The 15,677-nt window shown below is 39.1% G+C and overlaps 1 protein-coding gene across 15 annotated transcripts in view; it reads right to left on the bottom strand.

Moving 5' to 3' along the window:
- Positions 1-15,677, bottom strand: part of ZC3H12B (zinc finger CCCH-type containing 12B) — a 473,062-nt gene that overhangs the window by 17,801 nt on the left and 439,584 nt on the right. For 14 of the 15 annotated variants that reach the window (NM_001010888.4, XM_047442075.1, XM_047442077.1 and 11 more), the window contains one exon: positions 678-1,441. In NM_001010888.4, coding sequence (NP_001010888.3) covers positions 678-1,285 — 608 coding nt within the window. In that variant the 5' untranslated portion in view covers positions 1,286-1,441. Of the gene's footprint in view, positions 1-677; positions 1,442-12,911; positions 13,069-15,677 lie in introns of those variants that run through there. The other variant, XM_011530939.3, reaches the window with a different exon arrangement.

Below are 15,677 nucleotides of genomic sequence, written 5' to 3'. Positions count from 1 at the left end.
ATTCAGCCTACCACAGATATTGTAGTTCAGAGATCATCATTGGAATCAGAAAAATTAGGAAGTTCTTTGTGGAGGTGGTGCATTCTGAAGGCTATGAAGATACAAAGCAGGCCACTTCTAATTTGGGAAAAGACATGAACACAGGTAATGGGGATAGAAATCAGCATAATTTTCATGGAGACTGTTAAAGAGATAGATGTAAATGCAGTAAGCATGAGAGATGCAATCAAATGGGAGGAGGGACAGGCCTGATCACAAAGAGCCTTAAAGCCAGGGAAAAGGATCAAAATTTGGTATAATAACAGTTGAGAGTTACTGAAAGTTCCTAAGTAAACCCCAAAGTGACTTTATAAAAGCAGCATTTTCAGGATGGTTAGTCTAGTAAAGTAGGGATAGGACAGCAGACCACAAAAGGAACAAAGCTGAATGGCTATGTCTCCTCTGAAGCATCATCACTGATGTCGAAGCTGCCTTTAGAACACCTGAAAACAAATTGGCAGCAACTTCAGTGGAAGAAGAAAAGGCAAGGGCAGGATCATTTTAGTCTCTGGCCACCTTCAGAAACACACGCCACAGTCAATAGCCATGCTCCTCTTATAATGATTTGCAAAGGAAGAAAATTTCTATGAGCTCAGGGCAGTTTTTTAAAATGGGAGAAAAAAACATACCAGGCTTACCTCATTGCCACATTACTTCCATCAATGACAACTGGCCTCAAATTGTCACTGTTATCTATTTCATCTTCAAGAGACAATTCAGGGCTTGCAATCTCTCTGGAGCTGGGCCCACGAGGCACTAACAGACTCAAGTTGATCTGCCCTTCTGAATCACCTTTGTTCCCAAGTCTGACAAGCTCTGCCAATACATCATTAATAAGTGATTCTGGGCCCAGCTTGTTTAGCACTGATTGAATCTGTTCCTCTGCATAGCCCAGCTTTAGCGCAAACTCCATCTTAGCTTGGTATTCCTTCTCCAAGTCAAGTTTACCATCCTGTAAAATGCTGCTCTGGGAGAAACTTGGACGATCTAGGCAGGGTGATCGACAGAGCTGGCGGTGTGGCTTGGAGTGCATCTCCTTTTTCTTCAACTGACCATCCCTAGGTTGGCAGCTCTTGCTGTTGTCGCTACTCTTAAGGCTTATCTGTTCAGGGTCACTCTCAGAGCTCATCCACTCTTCAGAATCAGCATTGCCCTGCTCTGTGCTGTCCTGCTTAGGCTGCTGCTTCTCTTCCTTGGAGGCACTCTTCTCCATTTTTGGTGTCTCTACCTCAGCTGTGGCCGTCATCCCGTTTAGTGGGTCGTCTGAGGTCTAATCAGTTCTTTTTCTTTTTAGCCTGCTTGGAATCCACATGCAGTGGCATTCTTTTGTAGTAAAATGTCGTGGTAGCGATGGTGCAAGAGTTTGACTGTGTGGTTTGGTATGTTCAGATGTTATCAGTCCCTACAAATAAACACACATACCACATCATATTTAGTAAACTTTAGGAAAAGCATTTTAGAATACAGAGGTTTCTTCTTAAGAAACTACAGGATTTTTGGCATTTGGTTTTTCTTCTTACAATGATTACACTCAACTTACATTAAAGATAAAGAGTCCCTAATTCTATAATAATTCTAGACATAAAAATTTCAGTGGTGGTAATAATGCTGTAATTCCCGCCCCCCACCCGCTCCTGTCGCCCCCCTACCCCACCCTGCGACATGGACACAAAATAACAGCTAAAGTTATCTGCTTATCACAACAATTTGGAGAACAAGAAACATCACATTTCAACAAGGTGCAAGAATATGTATATATACATACATATATTTCCATGGAAAGACTCTCTTTCTTCCTTTCTGCCAGGAAGTGTTTCCAGATCCCACACCATATCCTTCTTGCTAAGGCTAAAATCCACTCCTGAAAAGCACATGCGGGCCGGGCACAGTGGCTCATGCCTGTAATCCCAGCACTTTGGGAGGCCGAGGCGGGCGGATCACAAGGTCAGGAGATCGAGACCATCCTGGCTAACATGGTGAAACCCCGTCTCTACTAAAAATACAAAAATTTAGCTGGGCATGGTGACGGACGCCTATAGTCCCAGCTACTCGGGAGGCTGAGGCAGGAGAATGGCGTGAACCTGGGAGGTGGAGCTTGCAGTGAGCCAAGATCGCGCCACTGCACTCCAGCCTGGGTGACAGAGTGAGACTCCGTCTCAAAAAAGAAAGAAAGAAAGAAAAGCACATGCTCTCCAGCGTTACTCTTACTCTTTACAAAATATCAGGAACCCCATCTACTAGGGAGACTAGAAAACCATTAAAATTGCTTCAGACAACTGAAGCAGGCTGTAAGGGTTAACAGAGAGGTGTGTTTCAGATAAGAAAGGGTGTGTGTGCACTTTCCTGAATGTGTCTGAAGCCACTTTTTAAATTGTAATTGATAAACAAAAGGAGAAAAGGATAAAATCAACTCAACTTGCAAGAGAAACCAGAACATAATAAAAAGAATATTAATTACAGAAGAGAATTAGGGACAATTTTTTTTGTTTTTTTTTGGTTTGTTTTTTTAAGACAGAGTCTTGCTCTGTTGCCCAGGCTGGAGTGCAGTGGCATGAGCTCAGCTCGCTGCAACCTCCACCTCCTGGGTTCAAGCAATTCTCCTGCCTCAGCCTCCCAAGTAGCTGGGATTACAGGCATGTTTCACCATGCCCGGCTAATTCTGTATTTTTAGTAGAGATGAGGTTTCACCATGTTGGCCAGGCTGGTCTCGAACTCCTTACCTCAGGTGATCCACCCTCCTCGGCTTCCCAAAGTGCTGGGATTACAGGCGTGAGCCACCACACCCTGCCTCAATTCTGTTTCTACAAACAAGAAAAACCTCTAATGGTTTGAAGAATGCTATGCATAACTGCATGCTTACTTTAGGAATCACATTTGGAAACAGAGCCAAACGTAATCAACATCTCAGAAACGACATTCAGGCAGCATATAATGACTCCTGGAATGATTACATTACCACTTGCGACTTTAAAAATTTCCCTTAGTGAATTAGTCAACACATAGACACCAATTTCCTTATAAGTTCCACATTTACTATCTGACTTACAATTTATTTTCTTCGAAATAATTTCTAGTGTACACAGGACATTGAAATATTTCCCCTGGATTTATTCAAAGCTTCAAAGTCACTTAAAACCAACTGTTTATAAGATTAAATGTATATTTTCTTGGCAAATGGGAGGTACCTGTAAAAGATAAGCTCGACTACTCTTAGCTAGTGGACCATAGAATGTTTATTTCATACTATCAAATATTTAGTTCTGTCCAAATTGTCATTGGTGTGAATAATTTCACCATGCTTATGTAGACATGCAACAGCAAATTTAAATTCAGGGAAAATATCACAAACATAGGAAACCCTTATTGAAATTACTTGTTATTATTGTGGAAGTTTCCTACTCAATAACCTAAAGTAGAAGAGAAATAAGTGGCTTAGCAGAAATAAACTCAGATTTCTCTTTCAAAACCTTAAGCAAGAGTATCTTAAGAAAAATGTTGGTGATCTTTCCTAAAACCTGTGTAAGTGTGAAGGTGTCATGTGTTTGCCTATGTGTATGTGTTTCTTTTATAATGCAAAAATCCTTGGGACAAGACAGCAAGAATGTATTTTTATTCTAAAGAACAGTCCCTGAGTGCCAGAGGCTGTGCTAAGCCCCAGGGTTAGAAAGATAAACCAGAACTAAGCCTGTCCTCAAGAACTCAACCAACTAGTAAAACGTTGGCTAGAAGTGACCCTAGAAATGCACTTCTATAGAAGATGAATATTTCAATTACAGTTCAAGCTGGGATACTCTTGTGAATGAAGGGAGTGTTTACTAATAGTTATGCAAGAACAATAGGCATAAACTAGGGATGTCTCAGGTAAACCTGGGTATATGATTGGTCACCTAAGTTACTTGCAAATTTTCATTGACATACAGAAGAGGAAATACTCAACTCTCAGTAGGGTGGGAGATAGGTGTGGTGGTTGAAGAGATTAGGAAAGAATTCAAGAAGCATATAATATCTAGTCATCTGCTGACATTACTTAATTCATTCAAAAATATTTATTTAGTGCCAACTATGCACCAGACAACATGTTAGAAGCTGAGGATATAAAATAAGATGAGGACTGATCTCAAGGAGCTTATAGTGATGTGGTGAGGAATGGGGAGACAGACAATAATCAAATAATCATATAATTCATAATTATAAACTGGCTAAGTGATTAAGCATTAAAAAGCACAGGGAGCTATGAGTTGAGCCTTAAAGGAAAGAGTTAAAATTTGCTGGGCAGGGAAGAGTTTTTAAAATTACAAGTATATGAAGATTAATATGATTTAGTGCCTTAGTCAACACCTCATGCCTAATATTATTGGCAAGGAGTAACAAATGAAAGCATTGAAGATGGCTAAAGCAAAAGAGTCACTTTTGCTCAAAAAAGGAAGGTGATTGGGGAGAAAAGTTTCAAAGATGTTGTTTTAGCTTATGACATGTGTTAAAAAGAGTTGTTGGCTGGGCACAGTAGTTCAAGCCTATAATCCCAGCGCTTTGGGAGGCCAAGGCAGGAGGATCGCTTGAGCCCAGGATTTGAGACCAGCCTGGGCAACATATGGTGGAACCTTGTCTCTACAAAAAAATACTAAAATTAGTCAGGCATGGTGGCATAGGCCTGTAGTCCCAGCTACTCTGGAGGCTGAGGTGGGAGAATGGCTTGAGCCCTGGAGGCAGAGGTTGCAGTGAGCCAAGAGGGCACCACTGTACTCCAGCCTGGGTGACAGAGCCAGACCCTGTCTCAACAACAAGACATAGAATTGTTACCTTTTATTGTTACTGATTGAAAAAATCCACAAATGAATGTATTAAAGACTGGCATACTTTGGAAAATCACATTAGTCAGATGAAATTATAGAACTGGATGTAATTTGTTTTAAGAAGCTGAGAGCTTTGTCACCAGATAGCCACGTGTGGAAGATACAGAGCTTGCCTATAACTTGTTTAAGAATATGATCAAGCAAATGATTGCAAACTTGCATCTGAATCTAAAAAAAGCAGAGAAACATATGCAGGCAAAATCTGCTAAAAGTGACCTCGAAGAGGAATTTCCACCAAGAAAAAAAGATCAAAGTCTTCTACTTTCTTCTCTCTCCCACTAATCTTTTTATTAGGAAATACAACTTATTCAGCTTGCGTTTGCATAGGGAAATTTTCCAAGATTAGTCTTCAGGTTCTACTAAAAACTTGACTTCATCTTTTCCAGAATCTGCCAAATGACATCTTATACAGAGGCAGAAATATCTGGCCATTTCTAGTGAGCCAAAACCTTTGGAAATATTCAAGAAAGCCCATTAACCACATAGAACAGAGTTACCCAGCAGTAATCAAGTCAAGAACAAAATAGTAAGTTCTCAATTATCTGCAGGTGGCCAAGCCACTTGTTATTGTGTTTGGTAAATGCATGTTTTGATAGAGACTTAGGGATGCCTACTTAGACAGCTGCCCTTCCCGCCACTTATAGCAATTTTTTTTCATAAAAGGCATTCTCAAAGAAAATATACATATCAAAAATTATCTGCTGTGTGGGATTTCTGGTGGGCCCAGATAATTGAGAAATGACTATAGTTCAATCATCATAAGAATACTAAGCTTTATTTTCTTGGTTTCTCCTCTGAACTGGACCACTGTTTGTAGAATTACTTTTTTTGTTAACTTTTATTTTAAGTTCAGGGCTACATGTGCAGGTTTGTTACATAAGTAAACTTGTGTCATGGGGATTTGTTGTACAGATTATTTCATCACCCAGGTATTAAGCCCAGTACCCATTAGTTATTTTTCCTGATCCTCTCCCTCCTCCCATTCTCCACCCTCTGTTAGGCCCCAGAGTGTGTTGTTCCCCTCTATGTGTCCTCAAAGACCTAAAGACAGAAATACCATTTGACCCAGCAATCCCATTACTGTGTACATACCTAAAAGATATAAATCATTATATTATAAAGACACATGCACGTGTATGTTCATTGCAGCACTATTCACAATAGCAAAGACATTCAACTTAAATGCCCATCAGTGATAGACTGGATAAAGAAAATGTGGTACATATATACCATGGAATACTATGTAGCCATAAAAAGGAATGAGATCATGTCCTTTGCAGGGATATGAATGGAGCTGGAGGCCATTATCCTTAGCAAACTAACATAGGAACAGAAAACCAAATACTGCATGTTCTCACTTATAAGTGGGACCTAAAGGATGAGAACACATATAATTAGCTTCTAAGAGAACAAATTCAAATCTGTATTGTATCAAATCATCACATTTTACTTTAAAAATGGCAAATAAAATAAGTTATAAAACTTCGATAACAGTAATAACATATGAACAATCATTTACATTTGCATTACATCTTAGAGTTGCCTAAGAGCATTCACATATATGCTCTCAATAGAGCCACATAATTACCTACACAATCCAGTTTTGAGATGTTATGACTTATATAGCCCATCTCCAATCCCCGGTGTCAAGCACATCAGTTAAAGAAGTTACACAAGCCCCAGAAAGAACTATAAAGTAAAGGCTTTCTCAGATACTTTGGAGGCAAAAGAGTTTGAAAACTTTACTGATTCTCAAAATGAAAAGATTCACATAAAGGCACTCTGAGAAAATCAAAAATTCAAATCTTTCCATTTTTATTTATAATAAATAAATCACATGCAGGAATTATATCATAAAGGAGGTAAAGATTGTTTCTTAACCTCCAACTATACCCATCTGTTTGTGTGCTCTTGAATAGTTTATAGGTAGTAACACTTAGCAAAGAAACAAGTCTAAGAAATAGCATATTTTCTGTGGTTTGTAAAAATGGGATTTCCCTCAAGCAATTAGAGCACTCTTGTCAGCCTATCTGGTTTTACATTACCCTCCAAACAAAACTGTTTTTTATATTTTACCTTCAATGCATTCTCAAAATGATACATGTCACAGTAAAAACTGTCACAATCAGAGCTAAAAACAACTGAGCTTATTCAAAATTTAGGATTTCATTTCAAAGGAGACCCAAGAGCTTTGTATGATTAAACTACGTCAATTCTTGTCCTCCCACTCCCACACCAAATGTTGAAGCTTTAGACAAAATGTTTACAAAAAAGTAAGAGTCTGTTGATTTTCATTACTCATTCATTTTTTTCAGGACTTCAAGCAAAGTAAACACACAATATTTTGATTTCAAGACCCATTATTCCCAGGTTTTGAACAGGGGCTCATTTTTCTGCTACCTTCCACAGTCACGTGTTCCATTAGAAAGGACGTATGTCTCCAGGATATCTAAAACATTTAGTACTACACACACTCTGTTGTCCAAACTAATTAAAACCACATTGTTAAATGTAACCTCAATTTATACTTGATTCAATCTTCCCACACAAAAACATTTCTAGTGCTTGACACTCCAGAAGGACAAGAAAACTGTAGGTTACATACTTACTATTTTCTTCTCTCTATATAAAGAAGGTCTAGGAAAAGATCATTTCAAATTCATGCAGAGAAGCTACATGGAGAATTCAAATTCATGCAGAGAAGCTACATATGCTACAGGAGACGGTCTCTGCTAGAGTAAGGGTTCAGTGAATGTGTGTTCTCTGGCCATTAGTGACAGCTGAGGAGCTGTTATGAAAGTGGCTTCTTCAGAAAACACGCCCACTTCTATGATTCATTGGTGAAGTTCATTTTTTTTCTCTCTCTCTCCTCCTCTTCTCTCTTCTTTCTCTCCTCCCTCTCTTTTTCTTTTTGTGCTACCTATACCCATCCCGAGACCCTTAGTCAAAAGCTATAGGGAAATATGGCTATGTCATTCTATAACTTATATTAAATTGGAAAAAAAGATTGCCTTTCTTATAACTTTCATAGTGATAAATATATCTTGAGCATCTCATTCAGTTAACAACACTGGGCTTGATCTTTCTTGATTCTCTCCAATTTAACTGTTTTGTTAAATGTATGGAATAGAGTACATCCTATTTTCTCTCTTTATAATTAAATCATTAGCCAGAATGAGAAGGGACACAAGGATCGGGGCAATTCTGAGGGGTAGCTGCAGTATTGCAGCCATGACATCATCAGCTGAAGTCTAGTTAGTTCCAAAAATCTCCCAGATGAAATTGGAGATATATTGGGTGGCAAATAGGAGTAGGAGGGAAAGAGGCAATAGAAGGATCACAGAGGTTACAAGTTTTAATTGTTATTATTTCAACTAACATGCTGTTTGTTGTCACTTCCTTTCTCAAACAATTATATATTGCTTTTTTCAAGAGCTGCTCTGTTTTATCTCAGCTGCAGGAGTAATTCTGTGGCCAGCAAAGTACATAAGAAACACAGTTTTAAAAGTATTTCAGAGGCTTTCAGAACAAGGAATGCTTAATAATGCATTATTGTTATATTAAATATGTCAACCATATAATGACATAGGTACACTCTTGGCTGTCCCCCCATGAGTTTAGGATGCTGGTAATCCTTGAAGGCTCCCTGCAGGAATGGTAAGAGGTGTCTTAGTATAGTGAGAAACCTTCTGCATTTGGAGCTGGAGTCAGGGTATTTGGGTGCAAATATTCCCTCTACCACTAAATTTAATTCCCATCCTGGATACTAGGTACTTAGCACTGCTCTAGGTGCTGAGGGTTCTAAAATAAATAAGATGCAGTCCCTGTGAGGTGCTCACATTCTGGTAGGTGAGATAAACATGTAAACAAATAATCACAGAGCATAGAATATGTTCTCGTAAGGTTGTTTATAAATGCTAGGGGAATACCAAGGAGGTGTAAGAGGTAAGTAATTCTTCTGTCTGAGGTAAGAGAGGTGAAATTTGAGCTGGTTTTATCAGGAAAGGGGGAGTGAAAATGGGGAGGACATACTAGGCAGATGGTATCGCATATGAAAGGGCATGGAGGTGTGAAAGACAATGGTGAGGTCAAGATTAGTGAGTAATGCTCTCCACACTCAGTGTTCTCTCCCCTCTAGTTCACCCACTTAACTCCTGCTAGTTGTAACGTTTGTTTCTCTCCCCAACTAGATTGTGAACTCTACTAAAAGCAAGAACTGTCCACATTCATGTTTGTATCTTTGCTTTCCCCAATCCCAACACCTAGCATACCTTTATGTATGTGATACGTTTTCAATGAATATTTTATTAAATATTTCATCCTTGTAGTACTCTTTTTTTTTTTTTTTGAGTCAGAGTTTCACTGTTGTTGCCCAGGCTGGAGTGCAATGGCATAATCTCGGCTCACTGCAAACTCCGCCTCCCGGGTTCAAGCGATTCTCCTGTCTCAGCCTCCCGAGTTGCTGGGATTACAGACATCCGCCACCATGCCTGGCTAATTTTGTATTTTTAGTAGAGATGCAGTTTCGCCATGTTGGTCAGGCTGGTCTTGAACTCCTGACCTCAGGTGATCCGCCCCCCTCAGCCTCCCAAAGTGCTGGGATTACTGGCGTGAGCCACTGCGTCTGGCCCATTCTTGTACTCTTATAGCCTCTGGCATACTCATAGAAGCCTGAAGTGAAGTTCATCTGATCAAAATTATAAAGACCATTTGACATTAGCTAGTTATACATAGCCCTGGCTTTTACTCAAATAGTGGTAAGTTGGGTTAAAATGATTTCTTGTGAGTCATTGATTATCCAGGAAAGATATAATTAAAAATCTGTCTATGAGTGACTTTGTATTTCAGTTAACATTAATACCAGCTTGTTTAGAAAGCACTTTTTTTCCCACAGTAGAAATTAAAAATAGTGAAAACAATGTACTGTAACAAACCTCCAAATGTTTAAAAGTTCATGTAATTATATTTATGCCATGAAATCTTTTGATAGTTACATAAATTTAAATATACTAATGATGATGTCAGTGGGAATGACAGTGAAAGGACCTTAAAAAATCTGATTATCAGTAAAAGCAATGACAACACTGGCAAATTGTTAATATCAACTTTTCCAGAATTCTGTTAGGCAGGAAAATAGGGTCTGGAAGTAGGGAACATAAGGCCAATTCATACTTCAGCTATGGCAGGAAATATCATCTCCATAGGGCATAGGCCAAGTAAATAACTTTGTAACTTTACTTCATCCTCTTCATTTACATAGGGTGTACCCCAAGTAATCAATGGAATCCTCTAGAGGGTATTTAAACTCGCTAAAATTCTGTAATGGAGCCCTTGAGCCCCTATGCTCTGGCCCGCTCCCACACTGTGGAGTGTACTTTAATTTTCAATAAATCCCTTCATTCTGTCCTTGCTTTGTTTGTGAGTTTTGTTCAATTCTTTGTTCAAGACACCAAGAACCTGGACACCCTCCACTGGTGACATCTGGAACTTAACGAAAGGTTTTCAATAATCCAAATAGTGTTTATTTAGCCAGGTGCGGTGGCTCTCACATGTAATCCCAGCATATTGGGAGGCCGAGGCGGGCAGATCACCTGAGGTCAGGAGTTCAAGACCAGCCTGGCCAATGCAGTGAAACCCGTTCTCTACTAAAAATACAAAAATTAGCTGAGTGTGCTGGCAGGCACCTGTAATCCCAGCTACTTGGGATGCTGAGGCAGGAGAATTGCTTGAACTTGGGAGGCAGAGGTTACAGTGAGCTGAGACTGCGCCATTGCACTCCAGCCTGGGCAACAAGGGTGAAACTCTGTCTCAAAAAAAAAAAAAAAAATACAAATAGTGTTTATTTAAACAACAAAACAAAAATTCAAAGGCCTGGCTGAACCTCGGTAAGAACAGGAAAATTTGTGGCATTTGAATGTGCTCTATTCCCATCTCCTCTTCCCGGAAACATGGTGGCCTTGAAAGCCAACAGCCTCACAATCACAGTAGCCATGAGAATTAGCAGCCTAGAAGTGAACAGAGGAAACTCAACAAATTTAGAGCTTCTCCAAAGTCCCATCTCCATAGAATTATTATTATCTGACCTGTCTGAAAGTTCCTTGGAAAACCTGACTTTTTCAAGGGCTTGTGTTTATTTGATGTGATTTAGAGCTCACTAATAATGAACAGCTTTTTCCTCAGGGATGTTTGTTGAAAACAATTAGAGACACTTTAAAAAAATATCACAGCTGCCTGATGGGGTAATAACAGCTAGAGCAAACAAGAAGTTGACAAAAAAAACTTTAAAGGAAAAGCTGGGAATCAGATGTCCATAAGGGGCTTTGAAAAGCTTCCACATATTCCTGGGGATCTAGAAGGACACATACTTGTGTAAGGTTGTGCATGTGTTCATGGAAGACCTGAAAAGTCCCTTATCCCTCACCTTTGGTTGACATTAAAGGTTTATGTAATCAGGAAGTGAAGGCTATAGCAAAGTTGTCAAATGCTTTCTAGGTGTTGAGAGTGTGCCACAGTATGCATGCAAAGCCTCTTGGCAAAGGGAGGAAGACTTACTGGTTCAAGGCAGTTAAGAAAAATGTTTTTGAACCAATAGCTGACAAATAAGCTATTCCAAGAAGAGATGTCAGTGGCCACACACAACAAATAATACAGACTTTAAAGAATTACTTCACAGGTCTCTAAACAACAATTACAAAAACAAACCTTAGGAAGAGGAGAGAATCTGATTTCCAAGGTTGCCAATTATATTATTTAAAATGTTCAGTCTTCAACAAAAAAATTATGAGATATGCAAAGAAACAAAAAAGTATGGCCTATATACAGGGAAAGAAAAAGTCAATAGAAACCATCCCTCCTGAGTTGGGCATAGTGGCATGAGCCCATAGTCCCAGCTACTCAAGAGGCTGAGGTGGAAGTATTGCTTGAGCCAAGGAGCTCAAATATAGCCTGGGCAATGAAGTGAGACCCCATTTCTTTAAAAAATATTTTTAAAATACTGTCCCTGTGCAGGCCCAGATGTCAGGCTTACCTGACAAATATTTTAAATCAGCTATTTAAAATATGCTTAAAGATTATAAGAAAGTATGTCAAAGAACAAAAGGAATGTAAGATGTCTTATCACATAGAGAATTTTAATGGAAATTCTGAAGTTGAAAAGGACAATAACTGAAATAAAAAATCCACTGGAGAGATCAACAGCAGATTTTAGCTGGCTATAGAAAGAAGCATCAAACTTTATGTTGACAGGTTAACTGAGATTACCTAGTCTGAAGGGCAGAAAGAGAAAATAAAGAAAAATGATCAGAGCCTAAGAGACCTGTGATATATCACCAAGTGTACACACACACACACACACACACACACACACACACACACACAGAGGAATGTTTTTGAGTTTTTCCAACTTTGAGTTTATTGAAATTTTTTTTTTTGAGACAGAGTCTTGCTCTGTCACCCAGGCTGGAGTGCAATGGCATGATCTTGGCAGCTCACTGCAACCTCCGCCTCCCGTGTTCAAGTGATTCTCCTGCCTCAGCCTCTGGAGTAGCTGGGATTACAGGCACCTGCCACCATACCCGGCTAATTTTTGTATTTTTAGTAGAGACCTGACCTCAGGTGATCCACCCACCTTGGCCTCCCAAAGTGCTGGGATTACAGGTGTGAGCCACCGTGCCCGGCCTATTGATCTTCTTGAATGTGCAGATTAAAGTTTTCCATCAAATTTTGGAACTTTTCAGCCATTAGACATCAAATATTTTTCCTGTTTTTTATTTTTCCTCTTCTTCACACAACTCCTGTTGTGTGTGTGTGTGTGTGTGCACGTGTGTGTGTATAATGCTTGTTTAACCTCCTTGTAAAGTTTGTGTCTTCTAGGCTGCAACAGTACCACACCAAATGATGGTCATGCAAGGATTCCAATCAATCCCTGCCTCAGATTTAGACTCTCCTGATGACCCTGCCTTGGATCCCCTAGACCAGTCAGCCAGAGACTTCCATGCCCTTGCTAGGCAGTGCCATTACCCCTAATCATCAGGAAGGAGGATGAACAAAGAATTCCAGGCAGGCAGTTCATGGTGGCTCACGTCTGTAATCCCAGCACTTTGGGAGTCTGAAGCTGGCAGGTCATTTGAGGTCTGGAGGTTGAGACCAGCCTGACCAACATGGTGAAACTGCATCTCTACAAAAAATACAAAAAAAAAAAAAAAAATTAGTCAGGAGTGATGGTGCATGTCTGTAGTCCCAGCTACTCGGGAGGCTTAGGTAGGAGAATCGCTTGAACCTGGGAGGCAGAGGTTGCAGTGAGCTGAGATTGTACCACTGAACTCCAGCCTGTGTGACAGAGTGAGACAAAAAAAAAAAAAAATTCCAGTCAGCAGTTTCACATGACTAGAGGCTATGGGCTGATAAAACCATGAAAAACAGGGTGTGGAACAAGTTGGCTAAGACTGACTGAATCCAATATGGTGCTGGATTTGACCTAGGTTTCACCTAGGACCTCTCTATATACTCATTAACATACTAAATCACACACCCACCAGCACCATGACAGTTCTGAGATTACACTCATTTTTGGTGTAAAAATGAGTGGCACCACAGTTCTGAGAAATCTTCACCTTTTTCCAGGAATCTTCATAAATATTCTACTCCCTGGTTAAATAAACCCATAAAAGTAGAAGCTGAAAACTCTATTGTGTGACTGACTCTTGAATATGCCTGCACGCCTCTTTCTTGAGTGTGTACTTTTCACTTTGCAATAAATCTCTGTACTTTCAAAAAAAGAGAGAAAGAAATTAAAAACCCAATAAAGAACTTCAACAACAAAATTGATCAAGTAGAAGAATCTGTGAACTTGAAAATAATTGAAATTATCCAGTTAGAAAGACAAAAAGTAAAAAGAATGAAAAAGACTGAAGAAAGTCTGCGTGACTTACAAGATAGTATAAAAATATAATGTATACATTATAGAATTCAGAAGGGGCAGTGAGAAAAAGGAGTAGAAATCTCATTTAAAGAAATAAATGAAAGAAGACTTTCCAAATCTAGGGAGAAAAATGAACATCTAGATCCATGATGTGAAAAGAACCCCAAATAGGTCTTCACTGAGACCAATTATAATCAAATTATCTAAAGTCAAAGATGAAGAAATCATTTTGAAAGCAGCAAGAGAAAAGTAAAATCTTGACATGTAGTGGATTCCTGTAAGACTATCAGTGGATTCCTCTACAGAAACCTTGCAATCTGGGAGATTTGGTTTGGCTCTATGTCCCCACCCAAATCTCACCTGGAATTGTAATAATCCCCATGTGTCATGGGAGGGACCCAGTGGGAGGTAATTCAATCACGGGGGTGGGTGTTTCCCATGCTGTTCTTGTGATAGTGAATAAGTCTCAGGAGATCTGATGGTTTTGTAAAGGGGAGTTCCCCTGCACATACCCTCTTGCCTGCCGCCATGTAAGACATGACTTTGCTCCTCCTTTGCCTTCTGCCATGATTGTGAGGCTCCCCAGCCACGTGGAACTGTATGTCAATTAAACCTCTATATAAATTACCCAGTCTTGGGTATGTCTTTATTAACAGCCTGAGAATAGACTAAAACAAACAAGGATGAAGAAATAATTTTGAAAGCAACAAGAAAAAAGTGAATCTTTGCATGTAAGGGATCCTTGTAAGACTATCAGTGGATTTCTCAACAGAAATCTTGCAATCCAGTAAAGAGTAGGAACATATATTCAAAGTCCTGAAAGAAAAAAAAAAAACTGCCATCAAAGAATACTATATCCTGCAGAATTATCCTTTAAAAATAAAGAAGGGAAACCTTTTCCCAGACAAACAAAAACTGAGGGAGTTCATTGCCACTAGATCTGCCTTACAAAGAAATATTTATGGGAACTCTTCAAACTGAAAGAAACACATGCTAAATAGTGATGTGAAAGCATAAAATAGAGATATATAGATTAATGCAACAATGTAATGGTGGTGCATAATTTACTTTTAGCCTTTATATAAAACTTAAAAGATAAAAATTTTTAATGGATACAAAATATAAAAAAGCAGATTCTGAGTACAAGAACACAAAGTGTGTGTGTGGGGGGGATGTAAAAGTATAGTATTTTTTGTATGATATTTAAGCTACATTGTTATCCACTGAAAATCAAAGAATAAAACTAGAATATATTTTATGCAATCCTCAAAATAACTGCCAGAAAACCTTTAATAGACACACAAAAGATAAAGAGAAAGCATCAAAGCAAATCACTACCAAAATAACTCATCAAACAGCAAAGGAAGAGGCTGGGTGTGGTGGCTTATGCCTGTAATCCCAGCATTTTGGGATGCCAAGGCAGGCGGATCACCTGAGGTCAGAAGTTCGAGACCAGACTGGTCAACATAGTGAAACCTTGTCTCTACTAATACAAAATTAGCCAGGCATGGTGGCATGAGCCTATAATCCCAGCTACTTGGGAGGCTGAAGCATGAGAATCACTTAAGCCCAGGAAGCAGTGGCTGCAGTGAGCTGAGATTGTGCCACTGCACTCCAGCCTGAGCAACACAGCGAGACTCTGTCTCAGAAAAAAAAAAAATATATGGAAGAAAGCGAGATAGAAAAGAGAAACAAAACATCTGCAACATAGACAGAAAATAATTAAAAAATAGCAATAGTAAGTACTCACTTATCAGTAATTACCTTAAATGTAAATGGATTAAACTCACCAATCAAAGGCAGAGTATGGCTGAATAGATTTTTTTCTTTATTATAGAAATCCATTGCTTGCTAATGAATAGATT

This window comes from Homo sapiens, chromosome X, assembly GCF_000001405.40.
Source record: "Homo sapiens chromosome X, GRCh38.p14 Primary Assembly".
Classification (NCBI taxonomy): Eukaryota; Metazoa; Chordata; class Mammalia; order Primates; family Hominidae; genus Homo; species Homo sapiens.
Note: the sequence above shows the minus strand (reverse complement) of the source record. Positions and strands in the feature narration are given on the sequence as shown.